Source organism: Homo sapiens, chromosome 1, assembly GCF_000001405.40.
Source record: "Homo sapiens chromosome 1, GRCh38.p14 Primary Assembly".
Lineage (NCBI taxonomy): Eukaryota > Metazoa > Chordata > Mammalia > Primates > Hominidae > Homo > Homo sapiens.
This window is the reverse complement of record NC_000001.11, coordinates 36,377,494-36,399,741: the sequence shown is the minus strand read 5'-3', so window position 1 is coordinate 36,399,741 and position 22,248 is coordinate 36,377,494. Positions and strand designations below refer to the sequence as shown.

The following is a 22,248-nucleotide window of genomic DNA, read 5'->3' as shown; positions in this document are numbered from 1 at the left end:
TGCCAGATGCTTTCACACATTAATGAAGGTCACTTAAATCTTACAGTTCTCTGAGAAAGGCCTAATTTTTTGTTTTCATAACAAGCAAATTGAGGCTGAGGAAGAAAGTAATTTTTCCAAGGCTATACAGAGTGACTTTTAAAAAATGTAAATCAGGTGGGGCACAGTGGCGTGTGCCTGTAGTCCCAGCTATTCTTGAGGCTTGGGTAGGAGGATCACTTGAGCCCAGGTAGTTGAGGCTGCAGTGAGCTATGATCACACCACTGCACTCCAGCCTGGATGACAGGGTGAGAACCTGTCTCTACAAGTAAATCAAATCACTTCGCTCCCTTTCAATAGCCTGTCATAGCACTTCTAGTACTAGATGAGAAGACTGAGGCACAGAGAAGATACTAACTTGCCCAAAGTCACAATTAGCCAGGAGTAGATTTGAACCTAGGCACTGTATCCGGAGGCTGCACTCCTAACCATGAAATCTAAACTCCTTACCTTGGCTCACAAAGCCCTATATGCTCTGGTTCCTGCTTCCTCTCTGGCCTCTTGTTATACCACTCTCCCCAGCTTCCCTGGCCTTTCCTGTGTTCCTAAATTGTCAAGGTCATTTCCCCCAGGTTCTTTGCATGAACTGTGAAAAGAAAAAATTTAACTTTTAATTGGTGATTTGACTTTTTTTTGCCAAATTTGTTAAATCTGACTTTTATTTGCAACTCTAGAATCGGGCAACACTTCATTCTATAAAATGGAATGAGTGTTCAAATGAGCTGAGCAGAGGAGATTGGTTTTACAGCCAGAAAAGGGCTGAGGAAAGCAGAAACAGAAAACAAAAAGATTGGTTGTTTCAAAGTTACTTTCCTTGTAACTTTGAAGGCTAAAGCAGAGGGGACTTCCTTATCCTGCCAGCTAAAACAGGATGGTTTGGAGATCTAGCTATCTCTCACTCTTCTGATTTATCGGAATATCAGATAAACAACTTAGTTTCCACTTGGTGATGTAGAACTTTAGCATGAGTGACTCCATTTTGGTTCTGTTGGGCTTGGTGCAGGAGCCCTGTTCAAACCAATGGCCTCCAATTTTTTTTTTTTTTTGAGACGGAGTCTTGCTCTGTTGCCCAGGCTGGAATGAAGTGTTACTTTCTGAGCTCACTGCAGCCTCCACTTCCTGGATTCAAGCAATTCTCCTGCCTCAGCCTCCCAAGTAGGTGGGACCAGAGGTGTACGCCACCACGGTGGGCTAATTTTTTCTATTTTTTGTAGAGACAGGGTCTCCCCATTGTTGCCCAGACTGGTCTCGAACTCCTGGGCTCCAGTGATCCTTCCGCCTTGTCCTCCAAAGTGCTGGGATTACAGGTGTGGGCCTCTGCACCCGGCCCTGCCTCCTATAAATTTTACTTAACAAACTGTTCCCGCTAATTGCAATGCTCCTCCCATAGTTTTCACAAGCTTGGCTTCATGTCACTAATCTCAACTCAAATGTCACCTTCTCAGGGCACCCCTGACAATCCAATAAAAGACCACCTTGTCACCATCACATCACACCTTTAATCTTCTGAAGAAATTTTTCCCTATTTTTCTTCTTTGTTTTCTTAAGACTCTCTCCCCTGCAGCGCCATCAGCTCAGGGAGCCACTTGATCTTGGTCACTGCTCCATGCCGGAGCCTGGGAAGGAGCCTGGCCCAGGTCGCCGGTTCAATGAATGCGTGCGGAATGAATGAACGACTCTAGTGAAAGAGACTCCAATGACGCAGGCCGGGATTTGCGGAGCACGAGCCCCGCGCCGCGAAGCATTCTGGGGATTGTAGTTTCTCCGTGACGCGGTGACTTGCAGAGCACTGACGCACTCTGCGCCCGGAGGACAGAGCGGCCCGGTCGCCGGCATGGTTTCTCCGTCCTGCTGCAGCCGGCGGGAGGCAGCCAGTCCAGGCGCCCGCTAGCTTCGGCGGCGACCCAGACGGGGAAAGCGGAAGGAATGTCGCGTGGTGGGTCCGGGTCGGCGGTGCAGGGAGCCCCGGGGCGGAATGCGGGGGATGCCAGGACCTCCGGAAGGAGGTGCCGGAGCCCAGGAAGCGTTTTCTTCCCCATTTACCGAGTATAGCTCCTTTCCCCAGACCCGCTCCCGCTGCTCTGAGTAAGCGGTGCTCATCCCGTTTTACCGGTAGCTTAGCTAGCTTGGAGAAGCTAAGTGGTTTGCTAAGTGATCGCCCTCCTAGGAGGTGGCAAAGCCTGTTCTAGAACCCGGGCCTGACTCGAGGTCCGGTGACTGCTCTTTGCAGTCGCAGCAGCAGCCCCATACCTTTGCTTGATCGCAGATTCATCAGGCTGCAGCCGGGTGGCTGGTCGTTAGGCCATGCCCAGGGACCTAGCTCCCAGGCCCCCTCGTCACTGGCCTAGTCTGGCTTGCCACGCTCAGTGCCACAATGCACAGCCCTGGACGGGATGCTGAGTGAGGTCGTAAAGAGAGAGCGTTCCACCCCCTTTAACTCAGGTCTGAAAATAAGGGATAGGTAAGACATAGTGCACTAATACATTATCAGGGCATGTTGAAATCAAAGGAGAGTACCTTTAGTGGAGTGTGATTCTGGTAGCTTTGTTTCTCCTGTAGTTTAATAAATGTGGAAACAGGTTCAGAGACATTAACTTTTCTAGGTTTTCATAATTAGGGGTGGAGTGGGGATTCCAACCTAGGTTTCTCTACCTTCAAAACCTATGTACCTTATATAATACCGGTTGGGGGTTTTTTTCCCCAATTCATTATCCAGATTTATTTTCTTTTTTTTTTTCTGAGAGTCTCGCTGTGTCACCCAGGCTGGTGTGCAGTGGCACAATCTTGGCTCACTGTAACCTCTGCCTCCTGGGTTCAAGCGATTCTCCTGCTTCAGCCTCCCAAGTAGCTGAGATTACAGGTGCGCCCATGCCCAGGTAATTTTTGTATTTTTGGTAGATACTGGGTTTCACCATGTTGGCCAGGCGGGTCTTGAACTCCTGACCTCAGGTGATCCACTCGCCTTGGCCTCCCAAAATCCTGGGATTACAGGCGTGAGCCCTTGCACCCGGCCTCATTACCTTAATTTCTACTTACATAACAGCTGCATGGTGTAGACCAATAGTTCCCAGAGTGTGGGCCCCTGACCAGCAGCATCAGCATCACCTGGGAACATGTTCAAAATGACTTTATCTCTGGGCCTCACCTCAGACCTGAGTCAAACTGGGAGTGGGGCCCAGCAAGCTGAGTTAACAAGCCCCTCAGATGATTCTGATACACACTAATGTTTGAGAACTACTGGTGTCAACCAATGATTCTCAAACCTTAACGTGTATCTAATTCACGTAGGGGGTCATGTTAAAATGCAGTCTGTTTCCAGCCAGCGTGGAAGATGGCAGTGAGCCACTCAGTGAAGGAGTGGATTTTATCTCAGAACAGGCTTGGGGAGAGACCTGAGATTGCGCATTTCTAACCAGTACCCCTCAGCACTTTGGAGTTATCTGGGGAGCTTTCTTTTTTTTTTTTTTTTTTTTTTTTTTGAGATGGAGTCACTCTGCTGCCCAGGCTGGAGTGCAGTGGCACTCCACTTGCAGCTCACTGCAAGCTCTGTCTCCCAGGTTCACGCCATTCTCCTGCCTCAGCCCCCCGAGTAGCTGGGACTACAGGCGCCCGCCACCACGCCTGGCTAATTTTTTTGTATTTTTAGTAGAGATGGGGGTTTCACCATGTTAGCCAGGATGGTCTTGATCTCCTGACCTCATGATCCGCCCGCCTCGGTCTCCCAAAGTGCTGGGATTACAGGCGTGAGCCACCGCGCCCAGCCGGGAGCTTTTACAAAATAGGATACCTGGGCCCACCCCTCTAACCAAACGAATCAGAATCTCTGGGGTGGGGAGGTTGGGTTAAAAACTCACCAGATGATTCTAATGCACACCTGGTGTGAGGTTTGGAGCCAGACGGCTATGGATTTTCTTTTTTTTTTTTTTTGAGACAGAGTCTCTCTGTTACCCAGGCTGGAGTGCAGTGGCGTGATCTTGGCTCACTGCAGCCTCCACCTCCCGGATTCAAGCGATTCTCCTGCCTCAACCTCCGGAGCAGCTGTGATTATAGGTGCTCACCACCATGCCCGACTAATTTTTGTATTTTTAGTAGAGATGGGGTTTCACCATATTGGCCAGGCTGGTCTTGAATTCCTAGCCCCAGTGATCCACCCACCTTGGCCTCCCAAAGTGCTGGGATTACAGCGGGGAGCCACCACGCCCGGCCTGTGGCTACGGATTTGAATTCCAGCAATTCCACTTATTTACTGTGACCTTGGGCAAGTTACCTCTCCTAGCCATATTTTTCTTTTTTTAAAGTTATTGATTTTTTAAAATTAATGTATTATTAGGAATGATACAGACTTTTGTTGTTAGTCCTAATAATTTGTCTTGCATTCTCAATGTAGATAATCATATAATTTATAATTGACCAACAAGGACAGTGATCTTCCTTTATAATTATTGTTTCTCTAAATTCTTTCCCTTCTTTCCGTAATCGTTTTTTGAACATTGCATTGACCATTACCTACATTTTACTGTTGATTAGAAGCCATAAAAGGCATCCTTTTCTTGTCTCTGACCCAATAGAAATGCTCACCATTTTCTTTATTTTTTGAGACAGAGTCTTGCTCTTGTTGCCCAGGCTGGAGTGCAATGGCGCAATCTTGGCTCATTGCAACCTCTGCCTCCTGGGTTCAAGCAATTCTCCTGCCTCACCCTCCCGAGTAGCTGAGATTACAGGCATGTGCCACCACGCTTGGCTAATTTTTTGTATTTTTAGTAGAAACAGGGTTTCACCGTGTTAGCCAGGCTGGTCTCGAACTCCTGACCTCAGGTGATCCACCCGCCTCAGTCTCCCAAAGTGCTGGGATTGTAGTCGTGAGCCACCGCGCCCGGCCAATGCTCACCGTTTTCTTATAGGTTTTTCTTTTTTTTGAGACGGAGTCACTCTGCCGCGATCTTGGCTTACTGCAAGCTCCGCCTCTTAGGTTCACGCTATTCTCCTGCCTCAGCCTCCCGAGTAGCTGGGACTACAGGCGCCCGCTGTCACCACACTCGGCTAATTTTTTTTGCATTTTTAGTAGAGACGGGGTTTCACCATGTTAGCCAGGATGGTCTCAATCTCCTGACCTCGTGATCTGCCTGCCTCAGCCTCTCGAAGTGCTGGGATTACAGGCGTGAGCCACCATGCCCAGCCTTCTTGTAGGTTTTTTTAAAAAATCAGAGTTGGGGTCTTGCTATGTTGCCCAAGCAGGTCAGCAGAGCTCTTGGGCTCAAGTGAAGCTCCTACCTCAGTCTCCTGAGTAGCTAGTACCACAGGTGTATCCCACCGCGCCTGGCCATCCTAGCCATATTTTTCTCATTCATAAAATGAGCATAAGTAATCCTTGGCTTGCAAGTTGGTGTGAGGATTCTATGAGACATGTGCGGGAAGCATCTGTGTCCACAGATACAAAAATTGCAGAGGTGGTCTGTGCTGGGAATTTTGTTTGAGAACCTGGTGGAGGTGAGTTGGCAACTGTACCCCCTACCCTGCTATAGCTGCCATCTGTGTGCTCCTGTCCACAGCAAGCAGGCAGCTGGTGTGGAAGAATGGCGGTGAGCCATTCAGTGAAGGAGCGGACCATCTCTGAGAACAGCCTGATCATCCTACTGCAGGGCCTCCAGGGCCGGGTAACCACTGTGGACCTGCGGGATGAGAGCGTGGCCCACGGACGCATAGACAATGTCGATGCTTTCATGAACATCCGCCTGGCCAAAGTCACCTACACGGACCGTTGGGGGCATCAGGTCAAGCTGGATGACCTCTTTGTGACAGGCCGCAATGTCCGCTACGTCCACATCCCAGATGACGTGAACATCACCTCGACCATTGAGCAGCAGCTGCAGATTATCCATCGGGTGCGAAACTTTGGTGGCAAGGGCCAAGGCCGGTGGGAATTTCCCCCAAAAAACTGTAAGTGAGGCCCTCAGCAAGCCCTGGCCCCAACTCGGAGTCCTCCAGTGATCTCCGGAGCTAGTTCCCTGCCCTCACACCCTGTCTGGTACCCGAGAAGAAAGCAGGGCCAGGCCAGAAGCTGGTGTCCAACAGACACCACCTGTCAAAGCTGCCTTTCACAGGGTTCCACCTCCCAGACTCACTCTGGGACCCAGAATCCTATATGTGGCCTTGGGGTAGGTGACAATCCCCCTTTTTGATGATCTGAATCTCTGACTTATTGATTATGGAACCTGTCAAGTAGTTTTCAACTCTCCCAGTGAGGATAATTAAACATGCTCAGCCTGAGCCACCTCTAAGTGTCTCCATTTCTCATGCAGTTGTGTTCATTTTCTCATGAAACCCAACTTGGATACAAACAGGTCCGTGCCCCAGGCTTTCCCTTCTGTGTGCTGCGCTCCCAGGCCGTCCTGTGTAGTCGGGGGCAGACTCAAGCTTGGCTGCACGTTGGAATCACCTGTCCCACCCTCACAGATTCATATTTCATTGGTATGGGGTATGGTCTGAGGGCTATGAGTTTTTTTAATTTCCCAGGCAATTCTAATATGTAGCAGTTTTAGAATGGTAGGAGAGTACTTCAGTCTGGTCAGGTGGAAAATGGCTTTTCTATTCAGAGTCCTTGTTGAAGAGGCTGTTAGTCTTGTTGCTGTTTCCTGAAGCAGAGAGGTTGCAGTATCCTGGGCCCTCCTCCCCTGGGGTGTGGGAGCTCGGCACACACATTCCTGCACCTGTGGGAGCAGGAATTCCATCTCTAATCTGAGAGTTATTGGGTTCTCAGGGTTAGAACCCACGTCCTTGTAGTAGCTGCCTTGTTGTCATTCTAGGCCTGCCACAGGCAAACAACCGTCTTAGTGAAAGTGGCTCACTTGAGGTCAGGAGTTCGAGACCAGCCTGGCCAACATGGTGAAACCCCGTCTCTACTAAAAATACAAAAAAAATTAGCCGGGCGTGGTGGTACACACCTGTAATCCCAGCTCCTCAGGAGGCTGAGGTGGGAGAATCGCTTGAATTGAACCAGGAGGTGGAGGTTGCAGTGAGCCGAGATCGCACCACTGCACTCCAGCCTGGGCAACAGACGGAGACTCCATCTCAGGAAAAAAAAAAAAAGAAAGAAAGTGACTTTCTCCTGTGGATCCAGAGAGTTTGAACTCATCAGATATCCACACCACACCTGCCATGTGCCAAGGCCTTCTGCTAAGCACACATCATCTTTTTGTTTTGTTTTGTTTTCAACAGAGACAAGGTCTCACTATGTTGCCCATGCTGTCTTGAATTCCTGGTCTCAAGCCATCCTCCTGCCTCAGCCTCCCTGAGTGGTAGGATTACAGGCATGAGCCACCGGGTCTGGCCAAGCACACATTATCAGGTGAGATTTGAACCTTTTTGCATCGGAGCTTATATCCTAGTGGGGGAGGTGGTCAAAGAAAACAAAGATGAGGCTGAACACAGTGGTTCACGCCTGTAATCTCAGTATTTTGGGAGGCTGAGGCTGATGGATCACTTGAGGCCAGGAGTTTGTGACCAGCCTGGCCAACATGGTGAAACACCATCTCTACTGAAAATAGAACAATTAGCCGGGCGTGGTGGCATGCGCTTGTAGTCCCAGCTACCCAGGAGGCTGAGGCACAAGAATTGCTTGAACCCAGGAGGCAGAGGTTGCAGTGAGCCAAGATCACGCCATGGCACTGTAGCCTGGGCAACAGAGTGAGACTGTCTCAAAAAAAAAAAAAAAAAAAAAAAAACCAAAGATGAAATCCAGCTTGAGAACTGCTGTGGCAGAGAGTTTTGAATAAAGCAGGGCCCCTGACCTTAAGATGCTACCATTCTTGAGGGAGATTTGAGAGGAATGTTCATGTGGACGTTAGCAGCCCAAGGGCACTGCATTCACATTCGAGTTCAGTCTGTGTCAGGTGTTGTCTGCAGACCACCTCATCAGGACCAACTGGGATGTGTGTAGGAAATGCACTTACCTGGCTCCTCCTTACCCAAGCTTGAATTGGAGTCTAGCACCCAGGAATCTGCATTCACATCCACCCATCCACCGTGATTCTTTTGCATACTGTATTTATTTTATTGCCTACAGGTCTAGAATCCCCTTAACTCTGCCCTTTGCCTTCAGGGAGAACGGAGGGTCCTAGCAGAGAAAACTTCTGAATTTTCCGGCCCCTCTGACAACTGGAGTTAAGAGGACTGACTGACACCACAAAGTGACTGCTGGAAAGAGAAACCAGAGGGCAGGTGCAGAGGGAAGGCCTTCGCTGTGGGAACGTCACCATACCCTCGCAAGTGGGGAGAGAGATGAGGAACTGGTGGGAGTCCCACAGCAGCTTCCCTTGCAGACCTCTCCCACATGTGTGCCCGTGTGTGAGAAATGGAAGAGGGCTTAGCTGGGGGTTCGGCTTAGGGATGCAGGAAAGGTCGAGCTCTGAGGCTGTGATGGCACACCAAGGGCTTCTCCGTCCTCAGCAGAGCAGCAAGGGAAGCAGTAAGGCTAGTGTGGGTTGCTGAGAAGACAGGCTCAAGACATGTTCCTTAAGTGTCATGTGCCAGACCCCAGTGGCCCTCTGTCATTCCTAGGCAAGGTCTTGGGAAGACAGATGATAATGAGGGGAACCAGGCCCTGCAGAGACACATTTTTGCCAAGCCCCTCGGTTAGAGCACAGCTGAGACTTTAAACCCCAAAGGTGGGTCTTTTGTAATCTGGTCTTGGCTTGCTGGAAAAGGCTATCAGGGGCCCAGGAAGGGGTTGAGAGAGCCCAGTGCCCACCAGCCTGTGGGAAGCCAGGAACTCCCCAACTGCCACTGGTCAGCCATTCCACAGGTCATTCTTGAGCACCAGCTATGTACCAGGCACAGTGGTAGCAACTGGGGAACATCAAGATGAACAAGGGTCTTGCCTCAGGAAGTGAACATTCTAGTGAGGGAAACAGATAAACTAAAAAAGTAAAAATATTTACAGGTGCCCTGAAGGAAATAAACAGGGCCTTTTGAGAGACAATAACAGGTAGTTTTATTTTGGAAAATGTAGTCTGAGGAAGTGAAATCTTTTTTTTTTAGACAGGGAGTCTTGCTCTGTTGCCCAGGCAAGAGAGCAGTGGTGCGATCATGGCTCACTGCAGCTTTGAACTCCTGGGCTCAAGCCTCAGCCTTCCAAGTAGCTGGAACTACAGGTGCATGCCACCACACACCTGTGGTGTCTTAATTTCGTAACTTTTTTTTTTTTCCCTAAGAGACAGGGTATCACTATGTTGTCCAGGCTGGTCTCAAACTTCTGGCCTCAAGCAATCCTCCTGCCTTGGCCCCAGTCACTGGGATTAAGGGCTTGAGCCACCCCACCCAGCAGGAAAGTAGTTAAACTGAGAAGAAGCCTGTCATTTAAAAAGCCAGGACAAGGCAGAGGAAACTGCCTGTGCAAAGGTCCTGGGATGGGAAAGCTTGGGGATTTGGGACAATAATAGTAACACTGTGGCTATTGGGGGAGAGGGAGGCAGATGAGAGTGGAGAAATGGGAGGGGGTGGGGCATATGACACAAGGCCTGTGGACAGAGTGTAGCTGGTTCCAGTTTCTGGTGTGCAAGAAACAGAACTTGAATTTTCTTTAACTCACTTGAATTCCTGTATTTTGCCCTACTCAGCCAGAGTGGCAGAAAGTTAATTGCGGTCAATTCACAGTTCCCCCATTTTCCTTGGCATTCTGTTGGAATTCTAGGGCTCTTCCTTTCAAGGTGCCAAAGCATGGGAAGCATAGTCTGATTTGGTCATCCAGTCACACTAGCATCCACTGAGATGTTCTCATCTGGTTGTGACCTTTTGTCATCAGCCCATGAAGGTTGCTGCTGAGTTGCTCCCCATCCCCCCACCAAAAGACCCCTCCAAGTGTAACCCATACCCCTCTCAGGTGTGCAGAGTTTTGTTTTGTTTTGTTTTGTTTTTCTGCTTTCCCCAGGCCATGTTAGGCCTAGGAAATTCTTGAGTCTTAGGTGAGTTAGGCCCTGTTTGTCCAAAATGCAGCATGCAGCCATTTCTCCAGAGGGTTTTGTGACTTCCCTGGTGCCCCACCCAGGAAAAGGAGCACAGCTCCTCTCTGCTTCTCAATCCCTTGGACCCAGATGATATTCCCAGTTACAAGACTGAGGAGAAGCTTCTCTCTTCTCAGGGACCCCCCTCCTCAATCTCAGACTCCCAGATCCCCGTTATAGTTTTCTAAATGTGTGTCTGCACAGAAATTCTGTCCATTCCTCCCTGAAAGCTAAGCTTTTGGAATTCAGAAGCTAAAAATAGGCCCTGCATTCTGTTGTATCATTTGTTTCCCGAAGTAATGAATACAGAGTAACTTATCTGTGTAAGAGAAGGAGGGAGAACACCAAGGAAAAGATGAAAAACAATGCAAAGTGTTACTGTCCCACCAGATTCTGGATAGTGTGGAGGCAGAGGGAAAAAGACTAAAAAAGGCTTTGAAGGTGGGAAAGTTGGGAACTGCTGCTACTGACCCAGTCCAACTCTGTCATTTTACAGCTGAGGAAACTGAGGCTCAGAGAGGGAAAGGGGCTCTCCCCAGGTCCCATGGCTAAGTTAGAGGCAGAGTGCCAAGATGGGCACCATAATGGTCATGAAAAATAGCTACTGGCCAGGTGCAGTGGTTCACACCTATAATCCCAGCACTTTGGGAGGCTGAGGTGGGAGGATCACTTGAGCCCAGGAGTTCAAGACCAGCCCTGGCAACACAGTGAGACCCTGTCTCTATAAAAATTTTTTTAAAAATTAGCAGGATATGGTGGGACACACCTGTAAGTCCCAGCTACTCAGGAGGCTGAGGTGGGAGGATCTCTTGAGCCTGGGAGTTTGAGGGTGCAGTGAGCTGTGATTGTGCCACTGCACTCCAGCCTAGGCAACAGCAAGACCCCGTCTCTAAAATAAAATAAATGAAAAATAGCTACTCTTTGTTGAATTTTACTACTTGCCCTGTGCTGGGTGCTCTGATGCTCCACAAGGGCAGAGCTGTTGTCTGGTTATGCCGAATCTCCAGCATCTAGCTCAGTGCTCTGCACATAGTGGGCACTCCATCAATCTTGTGGAATGAAAATAATCCTTTTTTTTTTTTTTTTGACATGGGGTTTCACTCTTGTTGCCTGAGCTGGAGTGCAATGGTGCGATCTTGGCTCACTGCGACCTCTGCCTCCCAGGTTCAAGTGATTCCCCCTGCTCAGCCTCTCAAGTAGCTGGGATTACAGGCACCAGCCACCACGTCCAGCTAATTTTTGTATTTTCAGTAGAGACGGGGTTTTGCCATGTTAGCCAGGCTGGTCTCGAACTCCTGACCTCAGACAATCCACCCACCTCGGCCTCCCAAAGTGCTGGGATTACAGGAGTGAGCCACTGCGCCCAGCCCTGAAAGTAATCTTATTATATCATTATAAAAACCCCATATATTAATAGCACCATTTTACATTTGAGCAAACCGGCTCAAGGAAGTTATGTGGCCTGCTCAAGGTGAACAACAGAATGGGGATTTGAACTCAGGTCTGTGTGACTCCAACTCAATGATCTTAACTGCTGTGCTATTCTGTTTCCCAGCACTCTTGGCATCATACTGATGACAGAGTATAAGAGGTGCCTTTGTTCACCACAGTGGTGGTACCTAGCCACAGGGTGTAGGTCTGACACTCAAAATTTGCCAGATTTAGGCCTTGCGATTTGGTGACAAAGAGAAGCCAGAGCCAACCAGTAATGGAGACGAGGGTTCAGAAGCCTGAGGAAGCCCCTGGGGGTTGAAGGTCTCTTTCCCTCCTTCTGTGATAGGCAGATCTGCCTATACCTTGTCAAGCCACCATCTCATGCTGTTGTGACAGGCGTCACTTTGTTATGGCAGCACCGTCTGCCGTAAGCCTAGAGTTGGAGAGCCAGCAAGAGTATGTCAGCGTGAGTGTGAGTGTGTGTGTGTGTGTGTGTGTGTGTCCCAGCGTTCTCCTCATGGTAGTGTCCTGATGACAGTTTCTCATTTCCTCTGGCTGGCACCTTTGGTTTCTATTCATTACTTCTTCTCCTCCTAGCTTTCTGTTCCTCCTCCTCTCCTTTGTTAAAATCCTGGATTTTCAATCAGCTGAGAGTCTCCTGGGGGTAGGAATGGTGGTGTCAGCGCAGAGTGATTCATCTAGCTGATAATTAGAGCTCTGGAAAACCCAGAACTCATTTTTGTCAGAGTCAGGGCTTCCGGAATCCCTAGGCTTTTTGTTTTGTCAGAGAGTGGAGCTTGCTGGGCTGGGGCCTTCTTTATGCCTGTCTTTTGGTCACCCACCTCATTGAAGCCCTTCAACTGAGATGAGTATGAGTGCTCGCTGGGTCTTGCAAAAAGCTGTTTCTATAACTCCGAGTCCTCACAGTGATCCCCCAAGCGTTATCCCTGTTTGGACAGAAGGGGAAGATTGGGCAATTTGCACATAGTCACCCAGCTTGTAAGTGATGCAGCAGGGATTCAAAGCCAAGTTTTTTGGAATCCATCAGACTTGATTTGAATCCTAGCCCTGCCATTATTAGCTGTGTGTGTTTGGGCACATTAATTTCCTTCTCTGAGCACTGGCTTCCTCAGCTGTAAACAGCCTCCTACCTAATACTGTCTCAAGTGCTCCATGCAGAGTGTGGCACAACGGTGGGAGCTGTCCTGATTACTCTTGTTAGTCAGCCCTATCAGCAGCTCAGTGGGCACCAGGCATTCAGAGACAAAGGACACAGGTAGAGGCAGCCAGACTTCACTCATATCAGCTCTTGTGTCCTGGCACTGCCTATGTGGAGATGACAAATGCACATACACACAAGTGGCCACACACCCTAGGAAAACCCAGCAGTGCACACAAGCTTAGACACGTGTGCCCACACATGGATATAGAGTGACCCAGGGGACAGCTGGAAAGACAGCCAAGAGTTAGACATCATAAGCAGCAAACACCCTGACTCACACCTCTGGGACAAGGGAGTGGGGCTACGGCCGCTGGTGCTGCTGCCACTGAGCCCTTCTAGCTGCTTCTGCATGCCAAGGGAGGGAAGCCAGGCTCTTAGAGGGCCCCAGTGAGTCACTTGCCTGATGCAATCCCTTTAAAGGGCTCATCTGCTGGTGCAAGAAGCTGATTCATGGAGGGCGTGGTTGCTGGAGGAGGAGGAGAAAGGGACCGAAACTGCAGCAGGAGGAACTGAGGTTAGATAGCTGTAGTCGCTAATAGGAACGCTTCACTGTAAACCTCCCTGGTCAAGGCTTCAGGGATCTCCAGGTTGAAGGTTGCCATCCTCGGGGTTTCTACAAAGGCGACAGACCTAGAGGGAAATGAATTATGAGCGCTGCGACAGGAATTTCTGTCTTTTATTGAGCCTAACTGCAGGGCTTTCCTCACAGAGTTCCACAAACCGGGAAATGAGGATCAAGGATGAGTCACTTTTCTGATAAATACACTACAATTGGCCGATCTTCCAACCGCTGGGGACTTCAACCTCGGCAGGGGGAGTGTAGGGCCCGCGAGGTTCTGTGGGGTCGGGCGGGGCGGTGCCTCCGTCCCAGCCTCGCCGCAGATATAGATCAGCAGTAAGTACCGCCCCATTAGAGCCTCGGCCTCCAATCGTGTAACAGGTTTCGCCCAGACCCCACCCTGAACCAATCCTCAATCGGACTCTGGCCTCTTGCCTGAAGTCTTCCGCCCATCGTCAAGATGGCGCCCCAATCCGAAAGCCGTGGGGCTGGAGACGCAGGCGGAGGGCGGGGCCCGGGGGGGCGGGGCCGCGGCTAAGGCTGGGGAGGAGGGGGGCGGTGCGTCACTTCCGTTGTCAGGTGGCGGCGCCGCAGCCATGGAGGGAGGCGGCGGCGGCGGCGGCGGCGGCTCGGGTGGCTGCGCTGGGAGGCGGCGGTGAGAGGCTCGCACGCCTCCAGCCCGGCCCCGGCCCCCCGGGAGGGAGAGCCGAGCAGCCCCGGCTCTGGGCTACGGACTATGGGCGAATAGCTCTGACCACCCGGCGAAGGTGAGGGCAGGGGTCCAGGAGCGGGGAGCCGGGTGGGGGTTGCGGGTAGGCGGGGCGGGCCCCGGCGGCCGCGGCGGTGGAATCGGAGTGACAGCCTGAAGCCATCTGAGTGCAGCAGAAATGGCCCCGGCGAATGCCCCCTCCTCCGCTGGGGCTCTGCCCTTCCCCGGCGGCAGGGGCGAGGGCTGCCTCGCGCCGGGTACCGGGAGGCCGCGGGAGCTTCAGTCCCCGCCGCAGCTCTGGGAAGTGGGCACTGCCAGCTTTGCCTAGAGTCACCCAGCCAGTGAGTGAAGCAACCGGCGTGTGAATCCAGCCAGATCTTTCCAAAAAGACACCTTCTGCCTCTCCGTGTTTCCCTCCTAATCCCGAGGGTGACTTGATAGTTAGAACGAGTCCCCAGGGAGGGCCAGCCAGGGCTTCCTCCAAGAGCCCTCACTCTGGCACGGGCGCTACCGCTGCTGGGGAATTTTCATATCCCGGGCGGCGTTCAGGTACGAGTCACAGCTACCTGCTTGCCAAGGCCACGTTTGGCCGGCCTTTTCCAAGGAGAGCTTGCTGTGGTCAGTGTTTCACCTGCCGAGCCGGTCAGGCCCGCCCATTCCCACGCCACTTGGCCCCGCCTTCCAGCCAGTTAGGTAGGGACATTCGGATTCCTGATGCCGAGTTTTCTGCCCACCCCAATCCCCAGGTTTGAAGCCCTTTTGTTAGCGGAAGGAAGAGATGACAGCCGCCCTCTGTGTGGCAGGATAGACTTTGCTCTGTTTTAAGTCACTGGAGGAAACCGGTTGGCTTTGCTTTGGTTTTGAGAACCAGTGGGGAAGAGGGTAGGCATACTGGGCTGGGCGCCTTTCCCTCTTTGAGTAGTTTTGCGTGAGATAAGGAAGAGCAGAATGTGTAATTGTAGGGCCAAAATAATCTTGTTTGTAAACAGTGCCTGTGAGCTCCTTTAGTGCTTCCTAATGGCCGTGCTGTGCAAGTTGTTGGTTGGGTTAATCTAGACAGTCCTCATTCATTCATTCATTCATTTCTCACATGACCACAACAAGAGTCCTTGCCTAGAGGCAAGTGCTAGACAGCATAGTGGTTAAGAGTAGGCTTTGGAGCCAGACTTCCTGAGTTCAAATTCTGGCTCAGCAACTTTCCAGCTGTGTGTACCTGGGCACATTGCTTAGTCTCCCTGTGCCTCAGTGTCTTCGTCTATAAAACAAGGATGATAACAGAGAGAGATATTATGAAGAGTAAAAAGTTAACATGTAAAACATACAACCATGTTTGCCACGTAATAAGAATTCAATAAATGTTATCTATTTTTATTTCAAGGAGCATACAGTCTAATTAAGGGAAATTGACCTGTAAACAAATGGTTGAAATGTGGTCTAAAGAAGCTAGTAGTGGCTGGGCGCCGTGGCTCATGCCTGTAATCCCAACACTTTGGGAAGCCGAGGCGGGCGGATCACCTGAGGTCAGGAGTTCGAGACCAGCCTGGCTAACATGGTGAAACCCCATCTCTACTGAAAATAGAAAAATTAGCTGGGCATGGTGGCACAGGCCTGTAATCCCAGCTACTCGGGAGGCTGAGGCAGGAGAATTGCTTGAACCTATGAGGCAGAGGTTGCAGTGAGCCGAGATCAAGCCAGTGCACTCCAGCCTGAGTAACAGAGTGAGACTCTGTCTCAAAAAAAAAAAAAAAAGAAGAAGAAGAAGCTAATAGCAGCAGCAAGAGAGTACTGTGGGAGCCCAGTGGAGAAAGGGAGAAAGCTGTGAGCTCAGCCTTGGGGGTGGGGTGGGGACGGGAGTGTGCCATGAAAAGGCTTGGCAGAAGTGATGCTGGAGCTGAGTCTAAAAGGAGAGGAGGGGAGGCTTAGCCAGGTGAGAATGAATACTTTGAGAGCGAGATAGACAAATAAACTCATAGTTTATTCCAGAAATCTCAGATTGTTCAATCTAGTGGTATGGAAGTTGATATGGTGCAAGTGAAGCAGTATAGGTTCATGAAAGAATGCCATATTAGCAATTTGAGATATCATGCCCAGGGCAGCCGGGAGCAAGTGAAAAGGTCTGAAGCAGAGGAATGACATGATTGGTTACATATTTTAGAAAGATTTCACTGGAGTCCCAGTAGAGGAGGGAAGGAGGAGGACAGGAGCGACTGAAGGGCTGGAGAACTCTTCGGAGACAAACCTAGGCTTCTGAGAGAGGAGAGTTGGTGCTGGGGCGATGGATCTTTGCTGAGGAAGCACCATGTGCAACCAGTGCCAGATGGCAAGCTCCTGCATTGGCCTGGGCTTCTCTGCCTGGCGCAGAAGTGCCTGGCACATGTGCCCCTCTCTTCCTGGGATTGTAGGTTGCTTGAGCAGCTGGAGAGATAAGACTGCCCTCTCAGAAGGCCAGTTGTAAAGGGTGCTGTGTTTGCTAACTTGTGCTTTTAATCTGACCTTTGGGGAAGGCAGTAGATTGTAATAGTTAAGAGGTTATTTGAGGCCGGGTATGATGGCTCACGCCTGTAATCCCAGCACTTTAGGAGGCCGAAGTGGGCAGATCACCTGAGGTCAGGAGTTCAAGACCAGTCTAACATGGAGAAACCCCTTCTCTACTAAAAATACAAAATTAGCCGGACGTGGTGGTGCATGCTTGTAATCCCAGCTACTCAGGAGGCTGAGACAGGAGAATCTCTTGAACCTGGGAGGCGGAGGTTGCGGTGAACCAAAATTGCATCATTGCACTCCAGCCTGGGCAACAAGAGCGAAACTCTGTCTCAAAAAAAAAGCTTATTTGGCTCTGCCATCAGACAGATCTGTGTTCTACTTCTATCCCTGCTGGTCACTAGGGATTACTTATTCTCTCCACCACAGCTTTCTCATCTGTAAAATGGGGACAATAAGAGTACCTTCGTAATAGGGCAGTTGTGAGGAGTAAGTAAGATGTTACAGGATGAGTACTTAACAGACACTGAGTAGTAAATGTTAGCTCTTATTACAGGCTACAGGAAAGAACTTTTAGGAATTAGTTGCAGCAATTCATGGCAACTAGAACTATGTCCCATTGAGCTGTCAGAAGTGTCCTGAGGGATCACAAGATCACAGAGTTTTATTTTATTCTTTCTGAAAAGAAAATCTAAGGGGAGTTTACCCAGTCTGTATGGGAGCCATGCAGATGATTCAGTTTGGCTCTTTAAAAGAACTATTTTTAAAAATAGAAGTAGGACTGCTGAGAAAAAAATAGTACTTTAAAGTATACATGGGTTGGCCAGGCGCGGTGGCTAACGCCTGTAATCCCTGCACTTTGGGAGGCCGAGATGGGCAGATCGCTTGAGCCTAGGAGTTCAAGACCAGTCTGGGCAACATGGCGAAACCCGTCTCTACAAAAAATACAAAAATTAGCTGGGCATGGTCATACGCACCTGTAGTCCCAGCTACTAGGGAGGCTGAGGTGGAAGGATCTCTTGAGCCCAGGAGATCAAGGGTGCAGTGAGCCGAGATTGCACCACTGCATTCCAGTTTAGGTGACACAGTGAGACCCTGTCTCAAAAAAAAAAAAGTATACATGGGAGTAAATGTATTTAGAATTTCTTCTCTGTGTGTCCCTGCTAGCAACCCTAGTCTGGTACCTGAATAAGCAGCATCAAGAGGCATCACACACACTGATGAGTGTGGTAGCTCAAAATACAGAGCCCTGATTCCACATACATGAGCTCCCATGTGTGGCTGGGGCTCTGCTGGGTCCTGGGGGCAGGAGGAGGATGGAGAGGCAGGCCCTACCATGGAGGAGGTTGTGATCTAGGGGCAGGCTCCTAACCAGTTAACATGTGCACAGTTTGGCAAGTCTCTCACAGAAGTCTATAGCATGTGGGGGAACCCAGTGGAAGAAGTGATCGAGCTCTAGGATGAGGAGGAGACTGGGGAGAACTTCAGAGAGCCCTTAGAACTTGAACTGGGACTGGGCACAGCAGCTCACACCTGTAATCCCAACACTTTGGGAGGCCGAGGCAGGAGGATCGCTTGAGCCCAGAAATTGAAGACCAGCCTGGCCAACATAGTGGGACCCCATCTCTACAAAAATTAAAAAAGAAAAAAATTAGTTAAGCGTGGTGGCATGTACCTGTAGTTCCAGCTACTTGGAAGGCTGAAGTGGGAGGATCACTTGAACCTGGGAGTTCCCAACTCCCAGTAAGCTGTAATCACACCACTGCACTCGAGCCTGGACAACAGAGTGAGACCCTGTCTCAAAAAAAGAACTTGAATTGGATCGTGAAGAATGAATAGAGTTTTCTGGGGGTCTATGAAGCCCTCCAGGCAGGGGGAGCAGCCTGGCACAAGCACGGATATGTGGTAATTTGTGTGGCACTTTAGGAACCACAGGAGTTCTAGCCCAGAGTGTGAAGGGACTGACTGCAGGATGTGCCTGAGAGGTAGGCAGGCACTAGGGCGCAGATGCTTGAATTTTGTATTCTGTTGGTGATGGATGCCTTGCATTAAGTGGAGGAAACATACCATTAGACCTGCATCTGCTTTGGAGGATGGAGTGGGTTGGGGAGAGGTTGGAGTCCCCATAGGAGGCTGTTGCAGTAATCCCAGCAAGGGCTGAGAGGGGCTTGGATCAGGGCAGAGGCAATAGGGTTGAGAAGAAGAGCAGAGATGAGCTGTTTGGGGGGAAATCAACTGGACTCTGGGAGTGTTTGGAAGTGATGCCAGAGGGAGGAGGAATGGTGACAGGTAACCTTGAGGTCCTTGGTTTGGGTGACAGAGTGAATGATAGTGCAGAGATAGGGATGGCTCAAGGAGAAGATAATGGCCAGTGAAATCTGCCAGCTTCGTTCAGTAAACCCTGGGCACACCCTCTCGGGAGAGGATCAGTTGGAAGGTCTTGTAGACCCCTGTCTGGACTTGGGCCAGGCTTCCCTTTGCTTTCGCCTGAATCAGCACCTGGGAGAAGGGCAGCTTTCCTTCCTTCACCTTTCCTCTGCCCAGATTTAACCAGGGAGGTGAACCTCTTCATGTTTCACATCTATAAAGCGATAAATCTTCAGCCTTCCAATAGCCCTAAGAGCAACCCTTCCCTCTGGCAATATCCACCCCGATTCAGCATACTACAGCCCACTGATGGGGTCCTGAACAGCAGAGACCCTCAGGGGAGAGAGGCTTTCTCAGTGCCCCCTGGAGATCTTATCTAGAGAGAGGTCTGGAAATTGGATTTGCTGCCTGAAGCTGGCTCAGCAGATTCAGTCCTTCTTCTCAGGAAGGACTGATATCTGCCAGAGGCCACCCAGGACTTGCTCAGAACCTTCAGGGAAGGGAGAGAAAGCTGCCCAGTGTCCTTGACCCTTGAAGTTCTAAGGGAGCCAGAAGCTGTCCCTCAGCTGGATTGGACTATAGTGAGGGGTGTGCTGGTGGGCGGGCCTTCAAACAGGCCCTTTGGAATTTGGGAGATTTTTTTACATGATTTGTCCTTGGGTTTGTGGTGTAAAGAAAGTAAACGAGAAAATGATCTGAAACAAGAGCACTTCTTTCTCCTCCACCTGCTCAGGTGAGACTCTGACCTCGAAGGTAGTCGAGGGCCCACAGCAGCCCCCGCATATCCTCCCAGGCTCTGTAATCAAGATCCTAGAGGGGAAAGGATGCAATTGCTTGCTGTGATTTACTTACTATCTTAGAGATAGTTCCACTTTGGCACATGCAGGTCTGGGTCATTTGTGGCTATGATGTGTCCCACTGTGAGTGTAATTTATTCAACAAGCTCTCTGCTAACAAACACTTGGGTTATTTTCTGCATTCTACTCTCTAAACACTTCTGCTGAAGTGACTTTCTTCATACATATGATTTTGCCCACCTTAGGTATCATCTGCAGGATAAATTTCTAGAAGTGAATTGCTGCCTCAAAGACTATCCTTTATTATTATTATTGTTAAAGAATTTCTAGGTCTCCTTTTAATAAATTGGGGCAGCCTTATTTTTCCCCCAGCAAGTGAATCTGTTCTTTTGGGTTGAGGTCGTACGTCCTGAGGGGAACACAGGTGTTCCCACTCCCTAAAGAGGCTACAACCCAGGCCGGGCGCGGTGGCTCACACCTGTAATCCCAGCACTTTAGGAGGCCGAGGCAGGCAGATCACGAGGTCAGGAGATCAAGACCATCCTGGCTAACACGGTAAAACCCTGTATCTACTAAAAATACAAAAAATTAGCCGGACGTGGTGGTGGGCACCTGTAGTCCCAGCTACTCGGGAGGCTGAGGCAGGGAATGGCGTGAACCCAGGAGGCGGAGCTTGCAGTGACTGCCCTCCAGCCTGGGTGAGAGAGCGAGACTCCGTTTCAAAAAAAAAAAAAAAAGAGGCTACAACCCAACGGTGTTCATTCTCTCCTGGCCATGACAGTCAGTCTTGGGTGTGAGTTCAGGCTCCCCAGAACTTAGCAGTCTACAGGCCTGACGGTTTCAAAGGAACTCTAGTTGTTGGAAAGCACCAGAGGTAGAAAAACTGAGAAGGGGTCTTGGCATGCAGAATAAAGCTGTCCCCTCTAAATATGTTTACACACTGCCACCTACTTGGCAAAAGAGATAGAAGATCTTCAGCCTTTAGGAAGTCTGGATGCAAGGGTCCAGAAGGAAGAGAGAGTGGACTGGTCATTGTAGTGGGAATTGGCAAGAGCAGGACTGATGTGCTTGTCATTTCTCTCTGGGGCAGAGCTGATGTGAGGTGTGTTGAGGGGACAGCAGTGCTTCTAGGGAGAAGCTCGGTTCAGCGCCTTGGGGACCTTGGGCCTGGTGTAGCCCAGCATTCCGTGGGGCTTTTGGAATCCTGTTGCTGGCATCTGCCAACCCTGGGGAGCAAGAGTCCTGCTACTTTTTGCAATAAGTATGGCGCTTCCAGCATTACTGAGTTTGGGGTAAGTTTCATAGTGTGTGTTCTTTTCTGACTCCTGGAGTGGTCCCTTCTGAAAAAACAGGAAGGAAACCAGCAAAAAAAGGAGGCCCGGCTGGCACGGTGGCTCACGCCTGTAATCTCAACACTTCGGGAGGCCGAGGCGGGCAGATCACGAGTTCAGGAGATCGAGACCATCCTGGCCAACATGGTGAAACCACATCTCTACTAAAATACAAAAAATTAGCCAGGCGTGGTGGCGCACGGCTGTAGTCCCAGCTACTCAGGAGGCTGAGGCAGGAGAATCGCTTGAACCCAGGAGGCGGAGGTTGCAGTGAGCCAAGATCGTGTCACTGCACTCCAGCCTGGTGACAGAGCAAGACTCCGTCTCAAAAAAAAAAGAAAAAAAGCCCCACCACCTCCCAGGTCCTTTGTAATACTGCAATACGTTATTGAATCTAAGGAAGTAAGGGTTGTCTCTTATTTTACAGAGAACACTCAGGCTCAGAGCGGGGTAAAAAGACTGTCTACTATTACACAGCCAGTAAGGGCAGAGCTGGGATTTCCAACTCACATTTGTGTGACTCTAAAGCCCATGTTCCCTTCCTCCATCCTGGCTAGGCTCTGGTCCCAGGGAGTCCAGCCCACATAGAATCTTGGACTCATAGAGCCAGCCCCAAAGCTGAACCAGTCCCTTTTTTTGCCTGAAAAATGGAAACTGCCACTGCCTTGAGACAGGTCCCTCCCTGACCTGCCCTATGGGTAGTGGGCAAGGAGACTTGCAACCATGCAGTTAAGGGCCTAGGCTCAGATCAGATGTGGCTTCAGAACCTGAAGTGAGTGACCTTGAACAAGTCACTTCCTGTCTCCAACCCCAGCTTCCTCCTCTGTAAAATGGGCATAACAATTCTTGCCCTTAAGGTAGTCATGAGACACAGGGCTTTATAGCCTCTACCACGTTCAGCCTAGTGCATGGCAGGCAGGCAGGACCCAGGGGCCAGCTCCAGCAAGGCCCAGGTGAGCTCTTGGCAGTGAACCTGTGAGTGTACCAAAAGAGGCATCCTGAGCCAGTTTTCAGCCCTTATGGATGCCAGGGGGCAGGCAGGAAGTTCCTTATAGGCATGTTTGCAGCCTATCTGGAGAGCTGCAGGGGTGTTGTCTTTGTCCTTCTGCCTCTCACTCTTTTGCTGCACCATTGCATTGGCACACAAGCTCACACATCCAGGGCACTTATGCTTACACCTCTTCCCAGGCCATACTCTCTCAAGTCTGCCTTCTCTGAGGCTCAGCCTCCCCTGATTCCACTACTACTTTTTTTTTTTTTTTTTTTTTTTTTGAGACGGAGTCTCACTCTGTTGCCCAGGCTGGAGTGCAA

The 22,248-nt window shown here is 50.2% G+C and overlaps 2 protein-coding genes and 1 long non-coding RNA gene across 5 annotated transcripts in view, besides 9 other annotated features; 2 read left to right on the top strand and 1 right to left on the bottom strand.

The window, feature by feature from the left end:
- Positions 1,265 to 1,976: an enhancer, noted in NCBI's record as "NANOG-H3K27ac-H3K4me1 hESC enhancer chr1:36863367-36864078 (GRCh37/hg19 assembly coordinates)". NCBI's record gives its function as "activates a minimal SCP1, AML or CMV promoter by ChIP-STARR-seq in naive H9 embryonic stem cells {active_cell/tissue: H9 hESC(naive)}" and the evidence as "EXISTENCE:reporter gene assay evidence [ECO:0000049][PMID:30033119]".
- LSM10 (LSM10, U7 small nuclear RNA associated) lies at positions 1,834 to 6,306 on the top strand. The gene is made up of 2 exons (NM_032881.3): positions 1,834 to 1,975; positions 5,589 to 6,306. The coding sequence occupies exon 2, from the start codon at positions 5,613 to 5,615 to the stop codon at positions 5,982 to 5,984; it is 372 nt and encodes a 123-aa protein (NP_116270.1). The 5' UTR covers positions 1,834 to 1,975; positions 5,589 to 5,612; the 3' UTR covers positions 5,985 to 6,306.
- Positions 1,977 to 2,689: an enhancer, noted in NCBI's record as "NANOG-H3K27ac-H3K4me1 hESC enhancer chr1:36862654-36863366 (GRCh37/hg19 assembly coordinates)". NCBI's record gives its function as "activates a minimal SCP1, AML or CMV promoter by ChIP-STARR-seq in primed H9 embryonic stem cells {active_cell/tissue: H9 hESC(primed)}" and the evidence as "EXISTENCE:reporter gene assay evidence [ECO:0000049][PMID:30033119]".
- Positions 6,307 to 9,003: 2,697 nt separating the features above from the next.
- LOC124904012 (uncharacterized) lies at positions 9,004 to 13,551 on the bottom strand. The gene is made up of 2 exons (XR_007065779.1): positions 13,415 to 13,551; positions 9,004 to 13,323 (listed from the first exon to the last, which is right to left on the bottom strand). It is a non-coding gene; the product is annotated as an uncharacterized LOC124904012 (long non-coding RNA).
- Positions 12,305 to 13,504: an enhancer, noted in NCBI's record as "P300/CBP strongly-dependent group 1 enhancer chr1:36851839-36853038 (GRCh37/hg19 assembly coordinates)". NCBI's record gives its function as "activates an origin of replication core promoter dependent on BRD2, BRD4, P300/CBP, MED14 and CDK7 cofactors, with strong dependence on P300/CBP, by STARR-seq in HCT116 cells {active_cell/tissue: HCT116}" and the evidence as "EXISTENCE:reporter gene assay evidence [ECO:0000049][PMID:35650434]".
- Positions 12,971 to 13,340: an enhancer, noted in NCBI's record as "active region_753". NCBI's record gives its function as "activates an Ori minimal core promoter by ATAC-STARR-seq in GM12878 lymphoblastoid cells {active_cell/tissue: GM12878}" and the evidence as "EXISTENCE:reporter gene assay evidence [ECO:0000049][PMID:35858748]".
- Positions 13,371 to 13,480: an enhancer, noted in NCBI's record as "active region_752". NCBI's record gives its function as "activates an Ori minimal core promoter by ATAC-STARR-seq in GM12878 lymphoblastoid cells {active_cell/tissue: GM12878}" and the evidence as "EXISTENCE:reporter gene assay evidence [ECO:0000049][PMID:35858748]".
- Positions 13,711 to 14,090: a silencer, noted in NCBI's record as "silent region_668". NCBI's record gives its function as "represses an Ori minimal core promoter by ATAC-STARR-seq in GM12878 lymphoblastoid cells {active_cell/tissue: GM12878}" and the evidence as "EXISTENCE:reporter gene assay evidence [ECO:0000049][PMID:35858748]".
- STK40 (serine/threonine kinase 40) overlaps positions 13,818 to 22,248 on the top strand; it is a 46,297-nt gene continuing 37,866 nt past the window's right edge. For all 3 annotated transcript variants that reach the window (NM_001282547.2, NM_001282546.2, NM_032017.3), the window contains exon 1: positions 13,818 to 14,019. The gene's annotated coding sequence lies outside the window, so the exon portion shown is untranslated. The remainder of the gene's footprint in view (positions 14,020 to 22,248) is intronic.
- Positions 14,241 to 14,310: a silencer, noted in NCBI's record as "silent region_667". NCBI's record gives its function as "represses an Ori minimal core promoter by ATAC-STARR-seq in GM12878 lymphoblastoid cells {active_cell/tissue: GM12878}" and the evidence as "EXISTENCE:reporter gene assay evidence [ECO:0000049][PMID:35858748]".
- Positions 14,611 to 14,660: a silencer, noted in NCBI's record as "silent region_666". NCBI's record gives its function as "represses an Ori minimal core promoter by ATAC-STARR-seq in GM12878 lymphoblastoid cells {active_cell/tissue: GM12878}" and the evidence as "EXISTENCE:reporter gene assay evidence [ECO:0000049][PMID:35858748]".
- Positions 20,451 to 20,950: an enhancer, noted in NCBI's record as "H3K4me1 hESC enhancer chr1:36844393-36844892 (GRCh37/hg19 assembly coordinates)". NCBI's record gives its function as "activates a minimal SCP1, AML or CMV promoter by ChIP-STARR-seq in naive H9 embryonic stem cells {active_cell/tissue: H9 hESC(naive)}" and the evidence as "EXISTENCE:reporter gene assay evidence [ECO:0000049][PMID:30033119]".

Excerpts from the sequence above, each read along its gene's own strand:
- LSM10 (NM_032881.3), top strand. The coding sequence starts at position 5,613 with ATGGCGGTGAGCCATTCAGTGAAGGAGCGGACCATCTCTGAGAACAGC.